This window comes from Homo sapiens, chromosome 15 (genome assembly GCF_000001405.40).
Source record: "Homo sapiens chromosome 15, GRCh38.p14 Primary Assembly".
Lineage (NCBI taxonomy): Eukaryota > Metazoa > Chordata > Mammalia > Primates > Hominidae > Homo > Homo sapiens.
Genome location: NC_000015.10, coordinates 78,207,936 through 78,235,085, shown reverse-complemented (window position 1 = coordinate 78,235,085; position 27,150 = coordinate 78,207,936). Strand labels below are relative to the sequence as shown.

At 47.5% G+C, this 27,150-nt stretch overlaps 1 protein-coding gene across 5 annotated transcripts in view, besides 2 other annotated features; it reads left to right on the top strand.

Annotated features, from left to right (window-relative positions):
• The first annotated feature begins 520 nt into the window (after positions 1 to 520).
• ACSBG1 (acyl-CoA synthetase bubblegum family member 1) overlaps positions 521 to 27,150 on the top strand; it is a 67,098-nt gene continuing 40,468 nt past the window's right edge. For 3 of the 5 annotated variants that reach the window (NM_001199377.2, XM_017022025.3, NM_015162.5), the window contains exons 1-2: positions 521 to 715; positions 26,984 to 27,084. In NM_001199377.2, the coding sequence (NP_001186306.1) occupies positions 585 to 715; positions 26,984 to 27,084 (232 nt within the window). In that variant the 5' untranslated portion in view covers positions 521 to 584. Of the gene's footprint in view, positions 716 to 8,480; positions 8,632 to 21,218; positions 21,653 to 22,359; positions 22,538 to 25,836; positions 25,942 to 26,983; positions 27,085 to 27,150 lie in introns of those variants that run through there. The other 2 variants (XM_047432273.1, XM_011521390.4) reach the window with 2 other exon arrangements.
• Positions 9,120 to 9,199: an enhancer, noted in NCBI's record as "active region_9913". NCBI's record gives its function as "activates an Ori minimal core promoter by ATAC-STARR-seq in GM12878 lymphoblastoid cells {active_cell/tissue: GM12878}" and the evidence as "EXISTENCE:reporter gene assay evidence [ECO:0000049][PMID:35858748]".
• Positions 26,634 to 27,145: an enhancer, noted in NCBI's record as "H3K4me1 hESC enhancer chr15:78500283-78500794 (GRCh37/hg19 assembly coordinates)". NCBI's record gives its function as "activates a minimal SCP1, AML or CMV promoter by ChIP-STARR-seq in naive H9 embryonic stem cells {active_cell/tissue: H9 hESC(naive)}" and the evidence as "EXISTENCE:reporter gene assay evidence [ECO:0000049][PMID:30033119]".

Below are 27,150 nucleotides of genomic sequence, written 5' to 3'. Positions count from 1 at the left end.
TCTATAGACCATGTGGCGTGGTCTCAGTGTTGGAAATGTCTCCTTCCTTCCCCCGGGGTGGGCTCCCTCCTTGGGTCTCCAGCCTCCATGCAGGACCTGGGGGAGGGGGACTGAGTGGGTGAGATCCCTCCCAGGGCAGCATTCGGCAGACCGCAAGTCAAGGTTGCAGAGTGTATGCAGCCAGGGGTAGCAGCCACTTCAGGATCTGGGTCTGGATTTGTGCTGAGAACCACTATGACCTTTTAAAGCCAGTGAGGAGGTTTTCTGGGGGCCCAGAAGCCCTGAGCCCATTGGCCAGACCTCCTGGGAGAAGCGGAGCGGATTTGCATCAAAAAGAACACTGGCTTCATTGAAATTCTCCTCATCTTGAGAGAAACAAAACCACAAAGAAAAGGAAAGTTTTAATTCTGAGAAACTTCACTGAGGAGCAATTTTTTTTGAGCTTCTAAAAATAGAGAGGAAATGAGCCTCTTTGGGTCACTCTAGTTGCCGCCTCCCCTGCCCCATGCCCACCCCCACTGCTCACTCAAGGCTAGCCTCTCTCAGTGGGTGACTGAGCTGTCTTCAGTGGAAGCCCGAGGCAGATGCCACGCAATTCTGGAGCTGGATACGGCTGCCCACACGGGGACCCCAGCATGCTGGACAGCAGAGAGACCCCACAGGAGAGCCGGCAGGACATGATTGTGAGGACCACCCAAGAAAAATTGAAAACCAGGTAAGTCATTGGTTGGGTTTCTGCACACTGCACCTGTGGGCCGAGTTCTAGACTTTGCTCTGCTGTGTGAACTTGGGCAAGCTGCTTCTCTCTCTGAGCCTCAGTTTCTTCACCTGGGAAATGAAGGGAAGGATCTGGGCGATCCGTAAGATGGAAGAACTGGTCATTTGGAGGGCTACTTAGCATGGCTAAGAAAGGCTCATCAAAGAATGAGGCACATCCCAGGGGTATGAGCTGGGGCTGCAGTTGGAGACCAGTTGGATCTCAGTTGGATGGAGGAGGAATTTTTCAGTCAAGAATGTTTCCCTGTCTCCTCAAGGGGGACTTTTGCCTGCGGGGGTCAAAGACAGATAAGTTTTGGTGGGGACCCAGAGGTTCCCGCTCCAGTTTGCTGCGTGACCTTGGCAAGTGCCTTTGCCCTCCGTGGGCTGTAGCTTCCCTGTCTGAATATGAGTGCAGTGGCTGAGGTTTCCCTAAAGCCCTTCCACTGTATATATTCCAGTAATCTGTGATTTAGAGGAAGTGGATTCAACGTATCAGGCATTCACCAATGCCCACCCTGGCCCAGGCCCTGTCCATCCAGGGAGTAGGGGATCCTGAGAAGATGAGACTCAGTCCCAGCCCTGGGATGCCCTGGCCAGAAGGCAGGAAGAAGGCAGGCGCACGCGCACACGCACACACACGGAACTCCAGGACCCCAACATCTGTGATTTGTGTCCAGGAGGGGCGCAGGCGAAGGGGCAGAGAGAAGGAGGTTTCTAACTGGGGCGCCTGAGATGGACCTTGACGGTCAGAGTGGAGCCAAGAGCAGTGGGCAGAGAGAACGACCTAACAAAGCAAGACAGGAAGTTTGGGGATGGGAGAGGTCTGGGTGGCGGAAGCATAGAACTGGGGAGGACAGGGGCTAAATACCAGGGTCCAAGTCCTCTGTAGTAATGGGGAGGAATTGCCAGTGTCTGAGCTACCAAGACTACAGCCCCTGTCCTGATGGAAGGTTATGGGGAAGGAAGATAGAGGGAAATGGGAACAGATGTTAATGCGCCTCAGAGATGCAGAGGCCCCTCCGAGGGCTGGCATCTGGGCCCTGCCCTGGGTCTCCAGAGAACCCTGCTAATCCAAAGTGGACTCCTGTTCTTCCAGAAGCAGGGACTCTTCCCTGCAAAGCCTCCAAGAGCATGAGGGCAAGCCCCTCCCTGGGCATAGGTCAGGTGCACAGAGGGTCAAGGGCCCCTGGAAGAAAGCTGGACTGACTTCCTCACCCAAGGGCAGATTCAGGATCTCCTCTGGGCCCCGGTGTCCTGGCACCTCCCCTCCTCCCTGGGGTCTGTGGGCTCAGAGAGCAGGAAGGCCAGGCGAGATGCTCAGAGGAGCACATCGAAATATGTCCAGAGGCCATGCATGATGGCTCATGCCTGTAATCCCAGCACTTTGGGAGGCTGAGTCGGGTGGATCACCCAAGGTCAGGAGTTCTGAGACCAGCCTGCCCAATGTGATGAAACTCTGTCTCTACTAAAAATACAAACAGCCAGGTGGTGGTACGTGCCTGTAATCCCAGCTACTCAGGAGGCTGAGGCAGGAGAATTGCTTGAACCCGGGAGGTGGAAATTGCAGTGAGTCAAGATCGTGCCACTGCACTCCAGCCTGGGCCACGAGAGCAAAAGTCCTTCTCAAAAAAAAAAAAAAGAAGAAAAAGAAATAAATGTGCCCAGAGCAGGGGTAGACAGGCATGAGGACAGCCAGGGCCAGGGGAGTCTTTGAAAACAAAATCAAGGTCTGCAGGATCTCAGGGTCTTCTGCTCCCTGTGAGTGAGGGGCCAAGTGGGGCTCAGGGCCACAGGAGCCTGTGTCTCAGGCCTGTGGTGAAAAGGGGTGGCAGAGGGTCCTGTGTGCCCTGCAAAGCTCACAGAGGACTGGGCTTGTTTTGCAGACATCACTGAAGGAAAGTAGGCAAACTTGAGGCAGAACCCTAGGCTTGTGCAGAGAAGGACTCCCTCCTGAAAGGGTAAATGGGTCTTGGGACCCCGTAGGGAAAGAGAAAGGCTAAAAACCCAAGAGTTGGAGTGTCAGTTCTACTACTTTCTTGCTGAGTGACTTTGGATACATTGTTTAACCTTTCTGAGCCTCAATAGCATCCTCTGTACAAATAAATATACAACGCCTGAACTTCATTGACATTGCAGAAAAATTGGGTGGATTCCATCAGCTAATGTGTATGAAAATGTTTTCAAAGCATAAGAGTTACCCATCACAGGCATAGTAACTCTCATAGCAACACTCTTAGCAGCAGGCTGGAGGTCACATGCCTTGGGTTCCAGTCCAGCTCTGCTCCTAACCCATTCTGTGACCCTTGGCAAGATACCTTCTCTGAGCCTCAGTTTCCCCATCTGTCAAACAGGGAAGCTAAACCTGCTCTGACATTCTTGCAGAGCAGCTGTGAGAAAAGAACTTAATTCTTGTAAAACATTGTTCTAAAGTCAGAGAGAGCCAGGTGCAGTGGCTCATGCCTGTAATTCTAGCACTTTAGGAGGCCAAGGAAGGAAGATTGCTTGAGTGCAGGAGTTCAAGACCAGTCTGGGCAACAAAGCAAGACCTTGTCTCTGCTAAAAATTTAAAAATTGGCCAGGCATGATAGTGTGCACCTGTAGTCCCACCTACTCAGGAGGCTGAGGTGGGAGGATCGCTTGAGCCCAGGAGTGTGAGGCTGCAATGAGCTATTAACCACTGTACTCTAGCCTGGACTACAGGGCAAGACTCTGTCTCAAAAAAATAATAAAAATAAAAAATAGGCTAGGCACAGTGGCTCACACCTGTAATCCTGGCACTTTGGTAGGACAAAATGGGTGGATTGTTTAAGCCCAGGAGTTCGAGACCAGCCTGGGTAACATGTTGAAACCCTGTCTGTACAAAAAATACAAAAATTTGCTTAAAAAAATACAAAAAAGCTGAGCACAGTGGCTCACACCTGTAATCCCCGTACTTTGGGAGGCCGAGGTGGGCAGATCACCTGAGGTCAGGAGTTCGAGACCAGCCTGACCCACATGGAGAAACCCCGTCTCTACTAAAAAAATACAAAAAAAAAAAAATTAGCCAGGCGTGGTGGCGCATGCCTATAATCCCAGCTACTTGAGAGGCTGAGGCAGGAGAACTGCTTGAATCTGGGAGGCAGAGGTTGCCGTGAGCTGAGATCGTGCCATTGCACTCCAGCCTGGGCAACAAGAATAAAACTCCGTCTCAAAAAAAGAAAAAAAAATTAGCCAGATGTGGTGGCACATACCTGTGGTCCCAGCTACTCAGAAGGCTGACGTGGGAAAATCAATTGAGCCCGGGAGGTCAAGCCATGATGGCACCACTGCACTCCACCTGGGTGACACAGCAAGACCCTGTCTCAAAAACTAGATAAATAAGGCAGAGAGATCATTGTTGTGACCATTGTGATGCCCCTTTCTGCTTCTCTGCTCCTCTGGGCCAACTCCAGGAGGGAAGGTGTATTAGTCTGTTTTCCCGCTGCTGATAAAGACATACCTGAGACGGGGAAGTTTACAAAAGAAAGAAGTTTATTGGACTTACAGTTCCATGTGGCTGAGGTGGCCTTACAATCATGGCAGAAGACGAAAGGCACATCTCACATGGCAGCAGACAAGACGAGAGCTTGAGCAGAAAAACTCCCCCTTATAATAATCCTCAGATCTTGTGCGACTTACTGTAACGAGAACAGCACGGGAAGGACCTGCCCCCATGATGCAATTACCTCCCACCTGGTCTGTCTCACAACACATGGGAATTCCAGATGAGATTTGGGTGGGGACACAGCCAGACCATATCAGAAGGGCTCTATCTCAGTCCTGCCCGTTTGCCCTGACCTTGTGGCCATGGTGGCTGCTCCTGGGGAAAGGCGGGTCTGCATTCCTCCATAGCCTGAGAGGGGCTTATCTTCCCCCTGCTTCCCAGTGTTGCAGAGGGGAAGACAGGAGGTGGAAGAAAGGGGAGGCTGAGAGCCCGAGGAGGGCTTGCACCCTGGCCTGACCCACGAGAGTTCCCTTCCCTGCCACACAAGTTGCAGGGCTGGATCCCAGTGACTGGGGCAGGTGTCCGGAGGAAACAGCCAGGCCAGGGCCAGGAGAGGCAAAACCCGTGGGGTCTGAGCTAACACTGGCCCTGCTCTGGCAGCTTGTGTTCTGTGCCCTTGAGGCTGTGGCTGTAGACCATGCCCTCCATCAGGGACACCCCTTGAGCCTGCCCAGGGCCTGGGTCCTGACCCTGGGAAGCCCTCTGTCCAGTGGAGACACCGGTCTCCCTGAGCCTAAGGAAGCCCATTGTGGAGGAAGGGCTTGGAAGGAACCTCAGAAGAGGACAGTCCATCCTGTGTTTGAAAGGCTGTGGATGCCCGGATGGCAAGCAGGGCGCTGTGCTGACCAAAGGCATGATTGTGAAGATGTTACGGGTGGCCATGAGACTGGTCAGGTTGGGGACCGGCTAACTCCTGGGCCTAGAGAGGCTGACGTGGCCAGACTAAGGGCAGCCAGGCTCAAAGAAGGAGGCAGACAGGAACCCTGGGAGGGGTGCAAGCAGCAGAAGCCTGGGGAGAGCCTGGTTTGGGGTTTGTGAATCTAGCAGCAGTGAGTACAGGCTGGACTAGGGGTGAGGTGGAGGCAGGAGGCCAGGACTTGGGAGCTCCAAGGGTCCCATCTGGCCCAGGGAGGGCTGTCAGGCTCTGAAGTGACCACACTCACTCTGGGCTCCTAGCTGACTCTCCCGGCGCTGCCTACCCAAAGACTGGGTGCAGAGAGGAGCCCCCTAAGAGCCAGGGATGTGGAACGGTCGCAGGAGGCTGCTACAAGCCCCATGAGCAAGGCTGTTCCCACTGACAGAGCTTTCCCAGGATGACAGAGAGTGCGCTCTGCCTCTCTGGGGTGTGCTAGCCTACGAGGGGCAATCGTAAGGCGAATGTCACTGAAAGAACACAAGTGTCCTTAAACATGGACTATCTGGGCTTTCTAGTGCTGAAATTCTTCCCACTCCCACTGCCCACTTCCCATTATGTAAAAAACACAGTTGTTTCATGTTTTTGTTTCTTTACTGTTTTTCTTTGTTTTTGTTAAGAATGCATTCATTTATTCAAAATTGTTTATTGTAGAATAATCAGGCATTGCGCTAAGCACTGAAGAATATAACAAAACAAAAACAAGTCTCTACCTTAAGGAGTTTGCATGCTTGCAGGGGAGACAGACATTAACAAATAATTATACAATTAAACTGTAATTGTGACAGGTGCCATGAATGAATAAAAAAAAAAAAAGGGAATATAATCAATGCCACTGAATTATACACTTAAAAACATTTCAAATGGAAAATTTTATGTTATGTGTATTTTACCACAATACAAACATTTTTTTAAAATGTCGGTAATTAAAAAAAATAGAATATAACGAAGATCTGACTTGGTCTTGAGGGTTGGTGCAGGCTCTCCTGGTAAAGCAACATTTAAACTGAGACATGAAACAGGAGTAGGAGTTGGCTAGGGGAAGAACTTTCTAGGAAATGGGCACAGCATGTGCAAAGGCCCCGAGGTGGGATGGAGCTTGTAGTGTTCAAGAGACTAAAAGCCAGTGGGAACAGGGCAGATTTGGGACTATCATGTAAAAGCCACAGGAAATCAAGGTGCTGGTGTCAAGAGCCCAAGATCAAAGGGGTCAGGCACATCCATGGAAAGCGTGAGTCTCTAGGGCAAACCAACCCTGGTCCTAGACTTCTGAGTACGGATCTGGATAACTTCCGAATGCAAGTCCGCCCAAGCCAGCGGTAGTCCTCTCAGGAGCTGCAGAGATTTTAGCCAGGGGCAGCAGAGCTCAAACTGACCTGAAGTCAGGATCTGGGCCCAAAGCTAACCCACTGTCTCCAGGCAAGCCCCTGAATGGCAGAGTACAAGGCAAGCAGGTTTTTTAGGTCACTAAGTCCAACCCACTGTATTACAACATTCACATATTATCAATCTACTCTGACCTGATTACCTCTAGGGAAGGGGAACTCACTACTTACCTCTTCAGCTCCGCAAAAGCACAGTTTCATCTAGGGCCAGTGGTGGTAGAAAAAAACCCTATCTCACACTGGGTCCTGTGAGAGACCCCTGGATCCCAGCTCTGGCCTCCTACCCAGACAATTCTGGCTCCTTGGAAAGGAGCCTGTGAGGAACACTTTAGAACAGGGCTGGGAAGGTGCTTTGGAAACTGTAAAGGTTGTGACCATGTGAAGGACATCTAGGGCCTAGCTCAGACTCTGGCCCCGAGCAGCTGTAAAATAAGAATTTAGATGTCAGCTGGGTGTGGAGGTGCATGCATCTATAATCCCAGCTACTCAGGAGGCTAAGGCAAGAGATTAGTCAATTAATCAATCTCCACCCTCACTTTCCCATAAGTAACCACTGTTCTGAACAGCCAATGTTCCAGGTGTTCTTGAGGATGGCATGCTTGGGATCACACAGAATGTTACTTGTCTGGCTCCTTGCACTCATCGAAATGTTTGTGAGATTGATCAGTATTGCCAAGTGTCTCAGTAGTTCATTCGTCTGTACGTTTCAGTAGAATTCCATTGTGTGGCTATACTACAATTTTTTTTATCCATTAATCTATTGATGGGCATTTGAGTTGTTTCCAGTTTGAGGATTTTATGAGTAAAGCTGCTATGAAATTCTTGTATAAGGTGTTTTTGTGGACATATGTTCTCATTTTCTTGGGTAAATCCCTAGGAATAGAATTACTGGATCAGAAGATAGGTGTGTGCTTAAAGAAGCTGCCAGAAGTTCCCACATCTTTGTCAACAGTGGGTATTGTTACTCTTTTTAGTTTCATTCTGGTGGGTGAATAGTGATATCTTGCTGTGATTTTAATTTAAATTTCCCTGATGATCAATGATATTGAGCATATTTTCATGTGCTTATTGGTTATTTCCATGTCTTCTTTTGTAAATTATCTTTTCAAATCTTTAGCTCATTTTGTAATTGGGTTCTTAATCCTTTTATTATTGATTTGTAGGCATTCTTTATATATTCTGGTTATATTTTGTCAGATATATGTATTGGAAATATTTTTTCCCAGTTTGTGGCTTATCTTCATTTTATTAATTGTGTATCTTTTTTTTTTTTTTTTTTTTTTTTTTGAGACAGGGTCTCGCTCTGTCACCCAGGCTGGAGTGCAATGGCATGATATCGGCTCACTGCAGCCTCTGCCTCCCAGGTTCAAGCAATTCTCGTGGCTCAGCCTTCAAGTAGCTGGGACTACAGGCGTGTGGCACCATGCCCAGCTAAGTTTTGTATTTTTAGTAGAGACCAGGTTTCACCATGTTGCCCAGTCTGGTCTTGAACTCCTGATCTCAAGTGATCTGCCCTCCTCGGCCTCCCAGAGTGCTGGGATTACAGGTGTGAGCCACCACCCCTGGCCAATGGTGTGTCTTTTGATGAGCAAATTTTTTTTTTATTTAATGAAGCCCAATTTACCTAGTTTTTTTCTTCTATGGTTAGTGCTATTGTGCCCTCTCTAAGAAATCTTTGCTATTTCAAGGTCATATATATATATTATATATATATATATATTTTTCTATGTGTTCTACTATTTCCTACATTAAATTGCTTGGCTCCTTTATCAAAAATTTACCACATTTGTGTCAGCCTATTTCTTGATTTTCTTCCATTGAGCAATTATTTCTCTTTCTTTATATAATATCATGCTGTCTTCATTCTATAGCTTTTTAAAAGTTTTTTTTTTTTTTGTAGAGATGGAGTCTTGCTACATTGCCCAGGCTGGCCTTGAACTCCTGGCCTGAAGCGATCTTCCCACCTTGGCCTTCCAAAGTGCTGGGATGAACAGGCTGGAGCCACTACACCTGGCCCACTACTACAGCCTTATACTAAATCTTGAAATCAGGTAGTGTTGGTCCTTTAACTTCATGAATTATTTCCCCCTACAAGATTGTTTTGTCTATGCTAGGTGCAGTATGCAGCCTCTAAGATATTGCTCAGTGATTCTTGCCCTCTGATATTCTTGCCTTTTGGATTCTTGTGTAATCATCTACCCTAGAACGTGGGCTGGATCTAGTGATTCATTTCTAACATAGAATATGGCAAAAGTGGTGGGATTTCTTTTTTTTATTTCTATATAAGTTTTATTATGACCATAAAAATAACCCTGTAGTCAATAACAATTTAATTGTACATTTTGAAATAACTAAAAGTGTATAATTACAAAAAGTGATGGGATTTCACTTCAGAGATTAGACGACAAAAATACCGTGTCTTTCATTTTGATTGCTCTCTTTCATTTTCTTTCTTGCTCACACTAAGACAGACCCATGTGGTAAGGACCTGAGGGACACCTCTAGCTAACATTCAGGGAGGAATTGACAACAACCTACAAAGAACTGAATCCTGCCAACAATCACATGAGTCAGCTTTTGGAAGCTCATTCTCCTCCACTGAGCCTTCATATGAAGACTGCAGCCCTGGTTGACAGTTTGACAGTAACCCTATGAGACACTTTGAGCCAGAGCTAGCCCATGCCTAGATTCCTAACCCATAGAAATTGTGAGATAGTGTTTGTTTTTTTTAAGCCACTACATTTTGGGATATTTGTTACATAATAATAGATTCCTAATATACTAGATCCTTTGTACTTCTATGTAAAATGTAGAATCATCTTGTCAGTTGATTAAAAAAAGACTGTTTGAAATTTGACTGGGAGTAAATTGACTCTATATTTCAAATTGGGTGAATCATCTGATCCATGAACATGGTATGCATTTCCATTAATTGAGGTCTTTGATTTGTCTCAACCATGTTTTATACCTTTCAGTGTAGGTATCTTGCACATTTTTTCTTAAACATTTCTAGAAATTTTATGTTTTTGTTGCTATGAAAACTGTAATTTATTTTATTTTTTAATTTATTTTTATTTATTTATTTATTTATTTATTTATTTATTGAGACAGAGTTTCACTCTTGTTGCTCAGGTTGTAGTGCAATGCCGTGATCTCGGCTCACTGCAATCTCTGCCTCCCAGGTTCAAGCAATTCTCCTGCCTCAACCTCCCAAGCAGCTGAAATTACAGGTGCCCACCAACATGCCTGGCTAATTTTTTGTAATTTTAGTAGAGATGGGGTTTCACCATGTTGGCCAGGTTGGTCTCAAACTCCTGACCTCAGGTGATCCACCTGCCTTGGCCTCCCAAAGTGCTGGGATTACAGGTGTGAGCCACTGTGCCTAGCTAAAACTGTATTTTAAATTTAATTTTCTAGTCAGTTGCTGTTAGTATAAATATAATTGATTTTTTAATATTGACCATATATCCTGCAACCTTACTAAATTTATTTATTAATTCCAACACTTTTTTTTGTAGATCCCCTAAGACTTTTATGTTCAAAATTTTGGTAGCTATTAATAAAAAGTTTTACTTCTTCCTTTCCAGTCATTTTCCCTTTTAATTCTTGCCTTATTGCATCTTTTAGGATCTCCAAATGTAATGTTGAATAGAGATAATAAGAGTGGAAATCCTTATTTTATTCCCAATATATTTAGCATTTATAGTGCTCTCCATTCCTTTCTGTATATTCATGTTTCCATCAGGGACAAGTGTCTTTAGCCTGAATAAATTTCTTTTTTTTTTGAGGCGGAGTCTCGCTCTGTCGCCCAGGCTGGAGTGCAGTGGCGCGATCTCGGCTCACTGCAACCTCCACCTCCTGGGTTCATGCCATTCTCCTGCCTCAGCCTCTTGAGTAGCTGAGACTACAGGTATCTGCCACCACGCCTGGCTAATTTTTTTTGTATTTTTAGTAGAGACAGGGTTTCACCGTGTTAGCCAGGGTGGCCTCGATCTCCTGATCTTGTGATCTGCCTGCCTTGGCCTCCCAAAGTGCTGGGATTACAGGAGTGAGCCACCACGCCCGGCCCAGCTTGAATAAATTTCTACAGCATTTTTTGTAGTGAAGGTGTTCTAGTTATCTATTGCTGCTTAACAAATCATTCAAAAATGTAGTGCATTAAATCAATAACAGTCACTTATTGTTGCTCATGGTTTCCATTGGTCAGTTATTCAGGAGCAACTTAGCTGAGTGGTTCTGGCTCAGGGTTTCTCATGATGTTTCAGTCCAGATGTCAGCCAGGGTAACAGCCATCTGGAGTGGGAAGACCTGCTTTCAACCTCACTCATGAAGTTGTTGACAAGCCTGTTTCTCACCGGATGTGTGAGTTTTCCATTGCACTGTAACAATTACCACAAACTTGGTGGCTTAAGACAACAGATATTTATTCTTCCCCAGTTCTGGAAGACAGAAGTTCAAAATTGGTTTCGGTGGGCTAAAGTCAAGGTGTCAGGAGGACTGCTCTTCCTCCAGGGGCTCTAGGACAGAATCTGTTCCCTGCCTCTTCCAGCTCCTGGTGCTCCAGCATTCCACCCTTGTCTTGTAGTTGCATCACTCCCATCTCTGCCTCTGTGGTCACGTTGTTTCTCTTCTGTGCATGTCAAATCTCTCTCTGCTCCCACTTGTAAGAATACATGTGATTGAATTTAGAGCCCAACTGGATAATACAAGATAATCTTTCAGTCTCAAGATCCTTCATTTAATTATATCTTCAAATCTCTTCCAAGTTTTTGCCATATAAGCTAATTTTAACAGCTTTCCATTTGCTGGGTCACATGGTAACACTACGTGGATAACTTGTGAGGGACATTTTCAACTTACCACACTGGCTGTTGGCCAGAGACCTTAGTTCTTTACCAGTGGGCCTCTCCATAAGCTATTTGAGTGTCTGTGACGTGGCAGCTGGTGGCTGAGGCTAGGGACTTGTCAAAGTCTTCTTTATCACATCTGGTGCCTGAAATAGACTCATTAAGCTAGGATTTGGAATAGCTGGGCCCTTCGTGTCTCTATTTTTTTAATTTATTTTCATTTTTGGTTTTGTGGTACATGTGCAGGATGTGCAGGTTTGTTACATAGGTAAATGTGTGCCATGGTGGTTTGCTGTACCTATCAAACCATCACCTAGGTATTAAGCCCAGCGTGCATTAGCTATTTTTCCTGATGGTTTTTCTCCCCCCACCCCACCCCCCAACAGGCCCCTCCCTATGTCCATGTGCTCTCATTGTTCAGCGCCTCTATTTCTGTGTGGCTTCTTCACATGCTCTCCAACATCGCGCGTTCAAGATAGCCAGACTTCTGACATGGTGGGTCAGGGATCCAAAAAGCATGTGCCCTGAGAGAGTCAGGTGGCAACTGCATTGCTTTTTTGACTTAGCCTTAGAAGCCATATAGGTTACTTCCCATATGTTGTGTTAGTTAGAAGGCAGTCCTAAGGCCAGCCCAGATTCTGAGAGAGGGAAATTAGATTCTACCTATTGATGGGGCAAGTGTTAAAGAATTTGCAGGTAAGATTTCAAGCCACCTCAGCAGTTTCCTGGTGACAAATCCTCCCATCTTCTATTTAAATAAAAATGTCATTCTTTCACCTTATTTTTCAAGGATATATTTACTGGAAAAGAATTCTTGCTTGATCATTTACTTATTTCAGTACTTTAAAATGTACTGTTACAGTATCTTTTGATCTTCATTGTTTCTTAGGAAAAGTCAGTTATCATTTCTATCAGTTTCCTTTTATGTAATATGTCCTCCCCACCCCATCCCACCTCACGTCTGCTTTGGTTGCTTTTAAAATATTATCTTTTTCTAGTTATTATTTTGCGACAGGATCTCGCTTGGTCACCTGGGCTGGAGTGAAGTTGCATAAACCTGGCTCACTGGCTGGGCTCAAGTGATCTTCCTGCCTCAGCCTCCCAAGTAGCTGTGACCGCAGGCACCTGTCACCATGTCTGGCTAATTTTTTTATTATTTGTGGAGACAGGGTTTCACCATGTTGCCCAGCTGGTCTTGAACTCCTGCCCTCAAGTGATCCTCCCACTTCAGCCTCCCAAAGTGCTGGAATTACAGGCGTCAGCCACCACATCCAGCCTTACAACCTTAATTTTAGAATATTTTCATTATCTTAAAAAGGAACCCTATACCCATTAGTAGTCACTTCCTATTTCTCCTCAATCCCCCTAGCCCTAAGAAACCACAAATCTACTACTGTTTGTCTCTATAGATTTGCTTATTCTGGACATTTCATTTAAGTGGACTAATACAATATATGATCTACTGTGACTGGCTTCTTTCTCTTAACATAATGTTTTCAAGATTCATCCATGTTGTAGCATGTATCAGTACTTCATTTTTTTATGGCCAAATAATATTCCATTATGTGAACATACCACATTTTGTTTACCCATTCCTCAGTTGATGGACATTTGGGTTGTGTGGGGAAAAGAGAGAGATCAGATTGTTACTGTGTCTATGTAGAAAAGGAAGACATAAGAAACTCCATTTTGATCTGTACAAAGAAAAAATTGTTTCTGCTTTGAGATGCTGTTAATCTGTGACTTTAGCCCCAACCCTGTGCTCACAGAAACATGTGCTTTATTGAATCAAGGTTTAAGGGATTTAGGGCTGTGCAGGATGTGCCTTGTTAACAATATGTTTGCAGGCAGTATGCTTGGTAAAAGTCATCGCCATTTTACATTCTCTATTAACCAGGGACACGATGTACTGCAGAAAGCCGCAGGGACCTCTGCCCAAGAAAGCCTGGGTATTGTCCAAAGTTTCCCCCCACTGAGACAGCCTGAGATATGGCCTCATGGGAAGGGAAAGACCTAACTGTCCCCCAGCCCGACACCTGTAAGGGGTCTGTGCTGAGGAGGTTTAGTAAAAGAGGAAGGCCCCTTTGCAGTTGAGGCCTCTGTTTCCCGTATGTCCCTGGGAATGGAATGTCTCGTGTAAAGCTAACTATTCGTTCTGTTCTGAGATAGGAGAAAACTGCCCTGTGGCTGGAGGTGAGATGTGCTGGCAGAAATACTGCTCTGTTACTCTTTGCTACACTGAGATGTTTGGGTAAAGAGAAACATAAATCTAGCCTACGTGCACGTCTGGGCACAGTACCTTCCCTTGAACTTATTTATGACACGGATTCTGTTACTCGCATGTTTCCTTGCTGATCTTCTCCCCACCATCACCCTGTTCACCCCATTCTGCTGCACTCCCCTTACCGAGATAGTGAAAATAGTAATCAATACTGAGGGAACTCAGAGACCGGCGCCGGTGCAGGTCCTCACATGCTGAGTGTACCGGTCCCCTGGGCCCACTGTTCTTTCTCTATATCTTTGTCTCTGTGTCTTATTTCTTTTCTCAGTCTCTCGTCCCTCCTCATGAGAAATACCCAGAGGTGTGGAGGGGCAGGGCCCCCTTCAGGGTTGTTTTAATATTTAGGCTATTATGAAAAGTGCTGCTGTGAACATTTATGTACAAGTCTTTGTGTGAACATCTGTTTTCATTTTCCTGGGTATATACAAAGGAGTGGAATTGCTGGATCATATGGTAACTCTATGTATAACCTTTTGAGGAACTGCCAGATGGTATTCCAAAGTATCTGCATTCCCACCAGCAGTATAGGAGGTTTCTAATTTCTCCACATCCTTGCCAACACTGTTCTTATTTTCTTATTTATAGCCATCCTACCAGGCATGAAGTGCTATCTAATTGTGACTTTGATTTGCATTTCCTGGTGGCTGATGATGCCAGGCATTTTTTAATGTGCTTGTTGTCCATTTGCATATCTTCTTTGGAGAAATGTCTATTCAAATCCTTTGCTCAGTTTTAACTGGATTATTTGTCTTCTTATTATTGAGTTGTAAGAGTTCCTTATATATTCTAGATATAATTTCCTTATCACATGTATGATTTGCAAATGTTTTCTCCCATTCTGTGGGTTAATTTTTCACTTTCTTGATGATGTCCCTTGAAGCACATCAGGTTTTAATTTTGATGAAGTCCAATTTATTTGTTATTGTTTGTGCGCTTTTTAACCTTATCTAAAAAAAAACTTGCCTAACACAAGGTCACAAAGATTTATTAATATTTTCTTTTAATATTTTTACAGTTCTAGCATTTAGGTTTAGATCTTTTATACATTTGAGTTAATTTTGTGTGTGATATGAGGAAAGAATCTAACTTTATTTATTTATTTTTGGCACATGTCCCAGCATTATTTGTTGAAAAGACAAATATTTTCCCATTGGATTGTCTTGGTAGCCTTCTTGAAAATCTGTTCACTTTAAATGTGAGTTGATTTCTGAATTCTTAATTCTATTTCATTCACCTATATATCTGTCCTTATGCCAGTACCTCATTGTCTTAATTACTGTAGGTTTTCAATGTTTTGAAATCAGGAAGTGCAAATCCTTCAACTTTGTTCTTTTTCAAGAATGTTTTGACTATTTTAGGTCTCTTGAATTTTTTGTTTGTTTGTTTGTTTTTTGAGACGGAGTCTCACTCTGTTGCCCAGATTCTGGAGTGCAGTGGTGTGATCTCAGCTCACTGCAAGCTCCGCCTCCAGGTTCATGCCATTCTCCTGCCTCAGCCTTCTGAGTAGCTGGGACTACAGGTGCCCGCCCCCACGCCCAGCTAATTTTTTGTATTTTTAATAGAGACGGGGTTTCACCATGTTAGCCAGGATGGTCTTGATCTCCTGACCTTGTGATCCGCCTGCCTCAGCCTCCCAAAGTGCTGGGATTACAGGCATTAGCCACCGCGCCCGGCCAGGTCTTCTTGAATTTTTATACAAATTTTAGGACTAGCTTGTCAATTTCTGCAAAGAAGCCAGCTAAGATTTTGATTAAAATTGTGTTGACCTGTGGTTAAATTTGGAGAGCATTACCATCTTAACAATATTAAGTCTCTCGATCATGAGATATCTTTCCATTTATTTAGGTCTTCCTTAATTTCATTCAATAATGTTTTGTGCTGTTCAAGTTAAAAATAGTTCTCTCTCTACCCTTTGGATTGAATAGTTTCTACTATTTTGTCTTCAAGTTCACTTTTTTTTTTTTTTTTTTTGAGACAAAGCCTTACTCTGTCACCCAGGCTGGAATGCAGTGGCACAATCTCGGCTCACTGCAACCTCCCCTCCCAGGTTCAAGCGATTCTCCTGCCTTAGCCTCCCAAGTAGCTGGGATCACAGGTGTGCACCACCATGCACAATAACCAAGTATCTTAGCCACTGTGCTAAGCAATTCCAGTCGATTGCTTCCTAGGAAATCCTGTGTTGCTGAGCTGTATGGAGAGGTGCCAAGGACCTCATAGAGCTTCACCTAAATTCAGGCAGTGCATATAGTAGTGGTTAAGAAGATGCAGCTGGGTGCAGTGGCTCACGCCTGTAATCCCAGCACTTTGGGAGGCCGAGGTGGGCAGATCACCTGAGGTCAGGAGTTTGAGACCAGCCTGGCCAACGTGGTGGAACCCCATCTCTACTAAAAATACAAAAATTAGCCAGGCATGGTGGTGGGCGCCTGTGATCCCAGCTATTCGGGAGGCTGAGACAGGAGAATTTCTTGAACCCGGCAGGCAGAGGTTGCAGTGAGCCAAGATCGCGCCACTGCACTCCAGCCTAGGCAACACAGCGATACTCCGTCAAAAAAAAAAAAAAAAAAAAAAGGAGAGCGATACTCCGTCTCAAAAAAAAAAAGGGAGATGCAATCTGAAGTCAGATTGCCTCGATTTGAAACTCAATCATCCCCATTACTATCTGTATAACCTTTAGCAAGTTACTTCATCTCTCTATGCTTCCATTTCCCCATAAAATAGGGATTGTAATTCAGTACCCACTTGATAGGAGATAATCAAATGAATTAATTTGTGTAAAGCAATTGGAACAGTGCCTGGCACATACTAAGTGCTCAGCAAATGTTAGTTGTCACTTTTTAAAAAGTGAAATAATATTCCCCTAAAAGGCCAGGCTCCTTCTGCTCTGTGTCCCCACTGCCTGACCCCTTTGCCTGCCACATTCAGAGCTGCCTCTCACGTGTACAGGCTGTGTATGTGTGTCTTTATCTTCCTCTTTAAACCCTGGGCTCCTCCACGGCAGGGACCAAGTCTGTGAGCCAGAACCAGCCCACTGCAGAGCACAATGCCCCCACAATGCCTCCACTGGCAGAAGCCTCACCCCAGCTTCACCCCTACCCCCACTCCCACCCCCATAAAGTTCCTCTGGAGTCTGAGGAATAGGCAGTGTTCTTTCTTCTCATCTCCCTGGAAGAAAGGTAGAGAATTACCTATCTTGAGAGCTGGGACTTACAGGCCGTCCCATCCACCCTTTCCCCATTTTACAAATGGGTTAAGTAAGGCCCTCCTAGGAGAGGAGTACCTAAAGTCACGCTTGCGGTACTTAGGATAAAAATGGCAAGCAATGGGGAGATGGTGATTTTCTAGTAGCCTTTGCTTTGGGCTGAAATTATGTCAGCTTTGAGCATCGCACTGCCCTTCCTGTGGTAACCAAAACCACCAGCTGGCCGTTCTCTGTGTCTGTCATCAATACAACATATGAAAACACCTGGATTACGATTTAATATATGCGCATGGTTTATATAAAACATTTTCCAGGCCGGGTGCGGTGGCTCACGCCTGTAATCCCAGCACTTTTGGGAGGCCGAGGCAGGCGGATCACGAGGTCAGGAGTACGAGACCAGCCTGACCAACGTAGTGAAACCCCGTCTCTACTAAAAATACAAAAATTAGCCGGGTGTGGTGGCGTGTGCCTGTAATCCCAGCTACTCGGGGAGCTGAGGCAGGAGAATCGCTTGAACCCAGGAGGCAGTGGTTGCAGTGAGCCGAGATCGCACCACTGCACTCCAGCCTGGGCGACAGAGTGAAGACTCCATCTCAAAAAAAAAAAAAAAAATTTTTCCAAAAGGGTCTGATGATGAATGGTGGATGCAGGGGTTTAGAGGACCCTGAAGTGCCTCACTCTCTGTACCTCCCTATTCTTTGTCCCTATCCTGCTCCACCCCAGTCACCCAACAGGCCTGAGACTATTCGGTATGGCTGGCTTGTTAGGAGCATAAACTCTGGAACCCACTTGCCCAAGTATATATTGTGACTCTGCTAACCAAAGGACCTTGTCAATTTCCCTAATTTCTCTGTATCTCAGTTTCCTCATCTGTAAAGTGAGGGTGCTAATAGTACCTCATTGGGCTGTTACGAAGATTGCATGTGTAAGGTGCATAAAACATTGTCTGAGACGCAGTGCTGGTTATGTGTTAGTTACAAGCTAGTACTGTGATTATTCCTGTCTGGTTTTCTTTTGCATCCTTGGGCCTGGGGGGCCTGGCAGCACCCAACTTTGCAGCCTTGTCCCTACCTGATGCAGCAGAATTCCAGCCCAGAGCCCTAGATGACCAGTCACAGATAGAAAATGAGAAGGCCCTTTATCTGTGATATCTGAGGAAACAGAGTCCCAGAATGAACCAGGGACTTGCCCAAGGTCACAAAACTGAAACAGAGCCTGGGCTAGAAGCCAGATGTTCTGGTGCCCAGAGAACTTTGTCTTGGGTACGGCCAGGCTGCTTGCCAACTCCTTTAGGGCTTTGGAGTGGAACTTGATGTCTGACACATTTATTTGTATACAGCAGGCTGTGGGATTTGGCATGACAGAGTTGGACACTATGAGCACTGCCAACTGGGTAAGAAGTGAGCTGGCTGGGCTGCCCCACCCACCCAGGCAGGAGCCAAGGTGGAGCTGAGATGAGCCTTGGGGGTTGAGGCCTCTCAGCAAACACACTTCCTTTGGGGTCTTGGGCTGGGGGCTTCAGTCAGTCAAGGGCTCCAGGGTGCCTGCTCCAAATATGTTCTTCCTAGTGGATTCTAGGGGGATATGTCTTAAACCACCCCTGCCCTCACCCTTTCTGAAAGATTATAGGTCCCTAGCAGATCTCTGCTCAGCCCAAAACCCCACCCGTGTGAGCTGGAAAACCGAGACTGGGGATGGTCCACAGTCCATGCCTATCACCTTGGCCTTGAGTCCTCTCCTCTGCGCTAGCCTCCCATGCTGTCTCGCATGAAATAATCAGACCTTTACTCCTTGCCAGCTTTCTTCCTTTAACATCATTATACCCCCTCCCCAAGCCTGGGCCCAGCAACCCTGCAAAGAATGCATCTTTGTTCATCGATCCCATCATCTCTAAATCTTCGAGGCAGGGACTGTGTCCATTTTTGTCACTTTATACCCCCTCGTCCCATGCAACATCCGGCACAGAGGAGGTGCTAAATCAATACTCATAGAAGGAAGGAGGATCCTCAGGGAACTGTCAGTCACTGGGGCAGGAAGAAATCAATTCCAACTTTGGGAATGAGGACTTAATTCATATTTTTATTTCATGACAGTCCATTATGTTTTTTAAAAAAGCAATACCCAGTTTCTAAATGCTGAGTGCCTTGGGAGGAGATCAGCCAGGGCAGCTCCAGGAAGAAGCATGAGGGCTGAGGTCCCTCCCAGAGAAGGCGAGCTTTGAAAAGTGTCATAGGCGGCTCTACCACAGCAGGTCAGCTAGTGGGTTTTGTAAGGAGACGAAAGGGTAGATTACACATTTCCCAAGCCTTCCTGATCTTGGAATGAGCCATGTGCTGGCATTATAACTGTTGAAGTTTCCTTCCTTCCATCCTTCCTTTCTCTCTTTCTTTCTCTTTCTTTCTTTCTTTCTTTCTTTCTTTCTTTCTTTCTTTCTTTCTTTCTTTCTTTCTTTCTCTTTCTTTCTTTCTCTCTTTCCTTCTTTTTCTTTTCCCTTCCCTTCTCTTCTTTTTTCTTTTCTTTCTTTTTCGAAGTTTTGCTCTTGTTGCCCAGGCTGGAGTGCAATGGCACAATCTCGGCTCACTGGAACCTCTGCCTCCCAGGTTCAAGCAATTCTCCTGCCTCAGCCTCCCAAGTAGCTGGGATTACAGGCATGCACCACCACGCCCAGCTAATTTTGCATTTTTAGTAGAGACGGGGTTTCACCATGTTGGCCAGGCTGGTCTTGAACTCTTGACCTCAGGTGATCCACCCGCCTCGGCCTCCCAAAGTGTTGGGATTACAGGCATGAGCCACCATGCCTGGCCACTGTTGAGGTTTTCAAACCTCATCAGTTTGGACACTGTGCATCCAGAGCTAGCCTTGAAGGACATTTGAGGACATTTCTTTTGTCATTCTCTACCAACGTCAAGTATCAGTGACAATTCCATTCATTAACATCATGACTCAGCCCTCACCAGAAGAGGGAGGAGGAGAAGAGAAACAAGTTCATCTTTAGCTCTTCAGGACAAAGGAGAGGTCTGAATTCCTTTCTGGGATTCACTAGGATTGGGGTCGTTAATATAGCATGGGCTTCCGAAGTCCTGTGACAACAAAAAACAGCAAGAGAGCATTGGGGTGCAAAGTGCATTGATGGGGGTCTATGGGGGGGCTCCCAGCAGCTTCTCAAAAGGGGTCCTAACGCATCAGAGGCTCAGGACCAGTATTCGAGTCAAACTGTTAGGGTGTCCTGAAGTGGCAATAGGCAAGAATTGCTGAGATGTAATTGAAATTTGGTGAAGGGTAGAATTCTTTTGAAGTTAAGAGTGCTGGCATTGACCTACCAGTTTAGGGTAACAATCTGACAGTCGTTTGCCATCTGACTAGGTGGAGGACCTTGAACAACCCCTGTCCCAATTGCTGCCTCTGTGCCCTGCTCCTTGGCCTTAAAATTAGGGCTGAGGCTGGGCGCAGTGACTCACTCCTATAATCCCAGCACTTTGGGAAGCTGAGGCAGGCAGATTTCTTGAGGTCAGGAGTTCAAGACCAGCCTAGCCACCATGGCCAAAACCCCATCTCTACTAAAAATACAAAAATTAGCCAAGTACGGTGGTGCACACCTATAATCCCAGCTACTCAGGAGGCTGAGGCAGGAGAATCACTTAAACCTGGGAGGTGGAGTTTGAAATAAGCCAAAATCGGGCCACTGCACTCCAGCCTGGGCAACAGAGTGAGACTTTGTCTCAAAAGATAATAATAATAATTAGGGCTTAAAATTTCCACCTAACACTAGCTAGGGCTGCCTCCATTTTTTCACCTCATCCAAACCTCACTCACGCCAGAGGCAATTTGGAATTTGGGAGTTGTAGCTTGCAGGTAATAATTAAAGATGAGGGAGTGTGTGAGCTCCCTAAGTGGGAGAGGGGGCTGAGAGGTGGGCAGATCACCAGGGACAGCCCCCAGGAAACTCCAGGAAGCAGGAAAATGCTGGTGGGGGCTGGCTGCTGCCACAGACCGGCTAGTCCCTGTAGTGAAGGAGGAGGTAGAGGGTGGAGGGGGTATTAGAAGGCACAGCGCAAGGTGCAGGGATATTTGTTACCATGGAACAGGGGCTCTCCTGTGGGAATGGGGGGAGCTGGGATGGTTGGCTAAGTTTTATGACATGCACATACTGGGTAAACCTTGTGTACGTAGCATCCTGGCTTCAGAGCAGGCCGTGGAGACCCCTGTTCACAATGCTGGCTCTGTCTTTTGCTGCCTGGGCAACACTGAGCAAGTCTAGCGTTCTATCACCTCTTTTGGAAAATGCGACTACTAATAAAACCTACATTGCAGGGCCGTGGAGAGAATGGGAGAAGCCAACACAAGGCACTCGGCATAGTACATGTGCTTAGTAAGGAACCAAACCAAACAAAAAGACGAGCTTCTCGCCCAGCCCTGGGGGACCCAGTGGCAGGAACTGTCTCCCAAGGCTCTGCCAAGGATGACGGCCAAAAAACTGCCTCTCCTGCCGCCCACCCTTCTTATGTAAGAGCCACACAGGTGGGCAACTGGGTCCCGTGCCATATAGGTCAGAGGTATCTGGGGCTACACCTCAACAGCAGCCCTAGGGCAGGCTGGGGCGGGTCCCCACTCATGCCCAACCCCACTGCCTCATCACCCGGAACCTGGGGCATCCACAGCGACTGGCTCCCATACTCAGCATGCCTTAGCTGAGGGAGCAGAGGGGTTGCTGAGCCCTGTGCCTGCCAGGTGCAAGAAGGAGGAAGGTGAGCACCCTGGGGCAGCCAGACCCCCAGGCACACCCTCTACCGTGAGTCCTCTATGGGGGTCTTCAGGCTGGGAATTGGCAATTAGGAGAGAGCTGCCAGAGGCCCAATCTTTGAAGTGAGGCAGTCCATGCAGACTAAAGAGAAGCAGGGGGCGTGGGGTCCGCCACGCAGGGTGATGGGGAAGCTAGCGTGAATCGCCATTGCAGACTATATTGTTGCTATTGGGAGCATCAGGCTGTGCACAGGCCTGTGTGACTAGCACTGTGGGGTTTGGAGGAGGCATTGCTCTCCCTGTTTGGGGTTTTTAGGATATGGGGAACTAGTTAGGCAACACCTTCCATGGAGAACATTCTCCAGCCATTGGGGAGTCAGTTCTGCTTTGCCCGCTGAGCAGAGAGAGATGGGAACTACCAGAAGTGATGGGGAGGCTGGTGAATGGTAGCCAGAAGTCTCTGCAAAGCAGGAGTCCTGGAGATTTTATTTGCTCATCAGTTGGCTGTGGGGAATGGAGACCACAGCCCCAAGGCAGCCACCTCCTGCGAGGCATTCTCCATTGATTCTGAGGGTGTTTGGGCTTATGAGGCCATAAATTACAGCAGGGTGTCCCACCCCAGGAGCAGATGAGTCATAGCCAGGAAAGAGGGCAGCTGTCCCCTCGCCCAGCCAGGCTGCCAGCGGTGACTCACGCTGTATCTCTGTTGCAGGGCGGTCCGGTGGAGCCGGGCCTCTCTGGGGCTGCTGTGGCTCTCCCGGGGGGACTCCGTGACATGTTCTCTGAGGTTCTGGCTCTCTCCTGGGCAAGCTCACAGATTGCAGCCACCCCCCAGGCACCATGCCAGAGGTGCTCCTGCTCAGGTCTGCCAGCTCCATCCTGAGGACTGCGTAAGGAACAAGGAGCCCACCTTCCCCCGCCTCCTGCCCCGCAGCCAGTCTCCCAGGGAAAGTAGTTGGCACGCAACCTGGACCCCCAGACTTGGGTTTAGGGTTTTTTTCATTCTGCTGGTCACCCTCTCAATCTTGCCAAGTTATCCTTTTCTTCTTGAGCCCCCAAAGATCCATGAGAGCTCATGCGTAATAATGATGAGAGCTGACTACGTACTAAGCACTTCTTATATATCACCTTCTCCTTGCAGTAGCCACAGGATACGGGCAGAAAACCGAGGGCCAGAGAGGAACCGTGACTCGGCCACATAGCTAGTAAAGTGAGTTGTGCCCAAGCAGGCAGACAGACTGGTGAACTTTGATGCTATCCTGTTTCAAGAAAGCGTTCATTGAGCACCTACTTCATACACAACAGTGGCCTGGCTGCTGAAGGCTGAGTGAGAAGAAAGGGTAACAGAAATAAATGGGAAACGGATCCTCATCCGTGAAGCGTTCACATGGGAAATGAGGGTCCTCCTCAACTTATGTGTCACACACATAGTGACAACTTGAGAAGGTTTAGGTCCAACCAACATGTACTGAGCTCCAACAGTAAGTACTCATGGCCAGAGGACAGAGCTGAATCAGAAGCGGCCCCAGCTGTCAAGCCATGTGTGACCATCAAAGCCCAAACCTGAGTATCCAAGGGCCACAGGGGTGAGAGGGTGTTGGGGAAATCTAGGAGGGCTTCCTGCAGGAGGAGTTGAAGGAGGCTTGGGAGGCTCTGTGTGCAAATGGTTCCCATCAGCTCCTCTGGCAAGGTAGAAGGAGTAAGGAGACACCAATCCACCAAGAGATGGTTAAGAGAAAGGCGCAGTGCAGACGCTCCCAGGCTCCTCTGCCCCCCACACATCTTACATCATATTTGCTCAAACACGCCCTTTGTTTTCTTGTTCCCATGCTGCTGGGTAGCTGCTGATAAAGTGTTTTTGTTTTCTGTGAAAGGAGAGCAAGGCGATGAGCTTAAAGTGTGCTTATGTGAGCTGAGGTCAGAGAATGAATCCTTGTTCTCGTCCTCAAAGACGAGTGAAAAGGGCCAACCTTGTAAGCTCTTCTTCCTCCTGGGAATTCAAAATGCAGACAGAAGCCAGTCAGCCTCCTCAGGCCGTTCTTCCACCATTATTGTCATTAATCATGTTAGGTGACTTCCGCCAACCTCTGGAGTATTGCCTTCCAGAAGGAGCATAATTTTCCAGAATGACAGGAATAATATGTTAATCGCCTTCGGCGTGCTCATGATGATCACAATGACAGTAATATCAACTCACCTGTAGGATCATTTACAGCCACCTGTCCTTCCTGGAATAGCAGCAAGAATCAGGAGAAGGGCCCAAAATGCTTTTGAGGAGTTAAGACAGAGTAGGGGCAGCTTCCCAAACCTTAGCTTCTTTTCTTCAAAGAAAACATGATAGGTTCCATTGTGGAACTTGTCCCCCAATGTAACCTAAGTTCTAACGAGCTTGGCTGTTTTGTTTTCTATTCTGCTACAAAAAGAAATGGCAATGTAGGAGTGAGATGAATTGCTAGAAGCCAGCACACTGAAAGTAGCAAGAAGTGACTGCTAGTCACAGAGGAGAGGATTAAAAACTAAAAAATGGCCGAGCATGGTGACTTGCGCCTATAATCCCAGTACTTTAGGAGGCCAAGGCTAGAGGATCGCTTGAGCCCAGGAGTTGGAGACCAGGCCTGGCAACATAGCAAGACCCTGTCTCTACAAAAAATACAAAAATTAGCCAGGTTTTGTGGTGCTGTCCTGTAGTCCCAGCTACTCAGGAAGCTGAGATGAGAGGATTGCTTGAGCCTAGGAGTTTGAGGTTGCAGTGAGTGGTGATTGTGCCCCTGCACTCCAGCCTGGGTAACAGAGCAAGGCCCTGTCTGCAAAATATAAATAAATACATACATACAAAATAAAAACTGAAAGACGACCATTACGAACAACAACGAGTGTGAGACAGCACTCACAATGAGGAGAGGCAGATGGCCCGAGCAGTTTCACTTGTTTCTGTGTGACAAGTCAGGTCAGGAAAGCCTGTTACTGGTTATAACTCTGTGTGAGCAGGAAGTTACTGGAGGTTTAGCACATTCTATTTCGGATGACATCTCTTCAAAGGGACCACCTCTCAAAGCCCCTAGTGAGGAAAAGATCAGGCTTAATTCATTTGGAGAATTAGGTTTTGACATTCTTTTAATCATGCGCCCCAAATTCTGTAAGCATAGGGCATAGAGAGTTGAATCAGTGCCTTGAGCCAGCCACAGGGATAAGGAAGGTGTTCTTGTTAAACTGATGCTGGCAGAGGGCCACGGTCCACCCTCTCATTGACCATGGTTGCTGGACAAGATCAGTGTCTGAGCAACAAGAAATTTGACACTGCACTGGGTGCTGCCCCTCCAGGAAAAGGCACCCACCCGCAGCAAGAAGGTGCTGCCAACAGCCTCATCGTCCCTATAAACAGAAGGTTCTAATCACGATAAGTACGCTTGACCCTTGGCTTCCTTTGGTGGCTGTCTTTTCATTTAGTCTTTGTGTAGCTATTTTAAAACCAGAACCAGTTTACACTAATTTTCTGTGGGGAGAGAAGTGCTGCCCATACCTTTTGATTAGGAGGATTTAAAAACAGGTTTGTTTGTGAGGAAGCAGTTCAGATGGTGGGACATTACAGCCAAGGACAGCCTCCTGCCTGGCTAATGTGGAGGTGGCCGCCCAGCTGGTGATCTCAGAGGCTGATTAGAGCTGCTAACTCTAACCTGGGGTGCTGTCCACCGTCCTCTGAGAACACAGGCTGAGATGGGGCAGGGACATCAACCAAGTTCACAGTCTTCCCCAGATGATCACAGTGCAGGCCTCTGAGCCTAGCAGTGTACGTGTCCCTCGTTTGCCGTCGCTGCCTGAACCCAGAGCTCAGGGGCCATTTGGTAACATTGCGGCCCAAAGTGGAGGCAGCTTCTACCTGGCTATCCCAGAGAGCTGTAACCAAGGATCCAAAGTCAGTAGGACGAGTTCTGCAGCATTCACACGCCTCTGTCTGCCCGGCACAGGAGGCCTCGCCCCGGAAGCACACGTTGCCATCTCTTCAGTTTTTCCACAACCTCCCTGGAGTGGGTCGCCATAGCAATGGAAGGGCTGCTCCAGGCCTGTGGCCCAGGCCTTGCTCACAAATTTCGCAAGAACGGCGCCACCTTGGTTCCCCAGTCATCCCCCTTCTCCCCGTCCCCCTCCCTTCATAACCTTCTGATATCTTTCGCTTTAAAACCTATCTCAGGTTCTTAAGCAGATGGCTGCCAGGTGGGCCTAGGTGTGTTCACAAACTTAGTTTTGTTCGGAACCTGCAGTGCCGACAAGGAGTGAGGCTGAATGTGAGAAGCAGGTAATTGGCCCGGCTTCCTGGGAACTGGGCAGGGATGGGGCTAGCCCCACCCTAACTGACAGACAGGGCTCCCTGGAGCCAGGGTCCTACCCTCAGGGACACCATGACCAGCTGCACAGGTTGCATGCTGCACAACTCCAGTGGATTCTGTTTACGTAGTTGTTGACTGTGAAATGTGTCTCTGGAGTTCTATAATCCTGTTGCAGTCCTAAAGTGTGTACTGAAATCCAGCTGCTCAGCCATCTAGGAGGTTGAGGTCTGGCCAGGTGAACTCTGAGGAAAAATGGTGCTGAAGGGCAGTCAGGCTGAAAGGATAATGAAAGCCCAGAAACCCATGAAACTTGGGTTGGCCAGAAGGGGAGACCCTTTAGCCAGGGTCACCGAGCCTGGGAGGCGAGGGGGATCTGGGTCAGGCCCTGGGCCTCAGGTCTCCCTGGACCCGTCTATGTCTGTCTTCTCCATGGAGTGAACAGACATGGGGTGCATGGTGCACCCACAAGCACATGGAAGAGGGGAGGCCCTCACTGGGGGGCCGGAATAGGACCCCTGAGAGCCCTATGAGTACCTGCAGCTCCACTCAGTTTCTGGGCATGGCTGGGGACTGGTGGGTACAGGGAGTGACAGATGGGGGAACCCCCGCCCCAAAAGTCTGCCCTCTCCAGGAGTGGCATTCAGAATCCTCCAGTGCGGACCTTAGCCCCGTCCTCATCCAGGTGGGGTGCTGAGACCCCGAGAGAGGCATGAACTTGCCCAGGGTCACACCACAAAGTAGAGCACAGAAGGCCTTGAATTCCCTTTCTCCTGAGCCCTTAGAGCCTGGAGGGAGGCTGGGTGGGGGCAGGGTCAGCCCCTACAACCACTGAGGTCTTGTCCCCTGACTCCCACTGGGTTCTCCTCTGTGGATGGCCCCAGCATTTGCAGGAGACAGAGGTGCCAGTGTCCCCCTGGGGGTGCTGAGATGTGTGCCAGGCCGGAGTCCCTAAGCCCAGGCCGGTCCCCCACGTTCTAATGAATGTTTTTCCTGGTCCCCTCACCACCCCAGCTCACTGACTGACAGGCAGCCACTCTCCAAAGAGTCCCTGAACCATGCTCTCGAGCTCTCAGTGCCAGAGAAGGTGAATAATGCCCAGTGGGATGCTCCAGGTAAGCCAGCTGGGGGTGGTAGGGTGGGGCAGGGCGGGAAACTGTGCTGTGCTGGGTGTGCTGGAG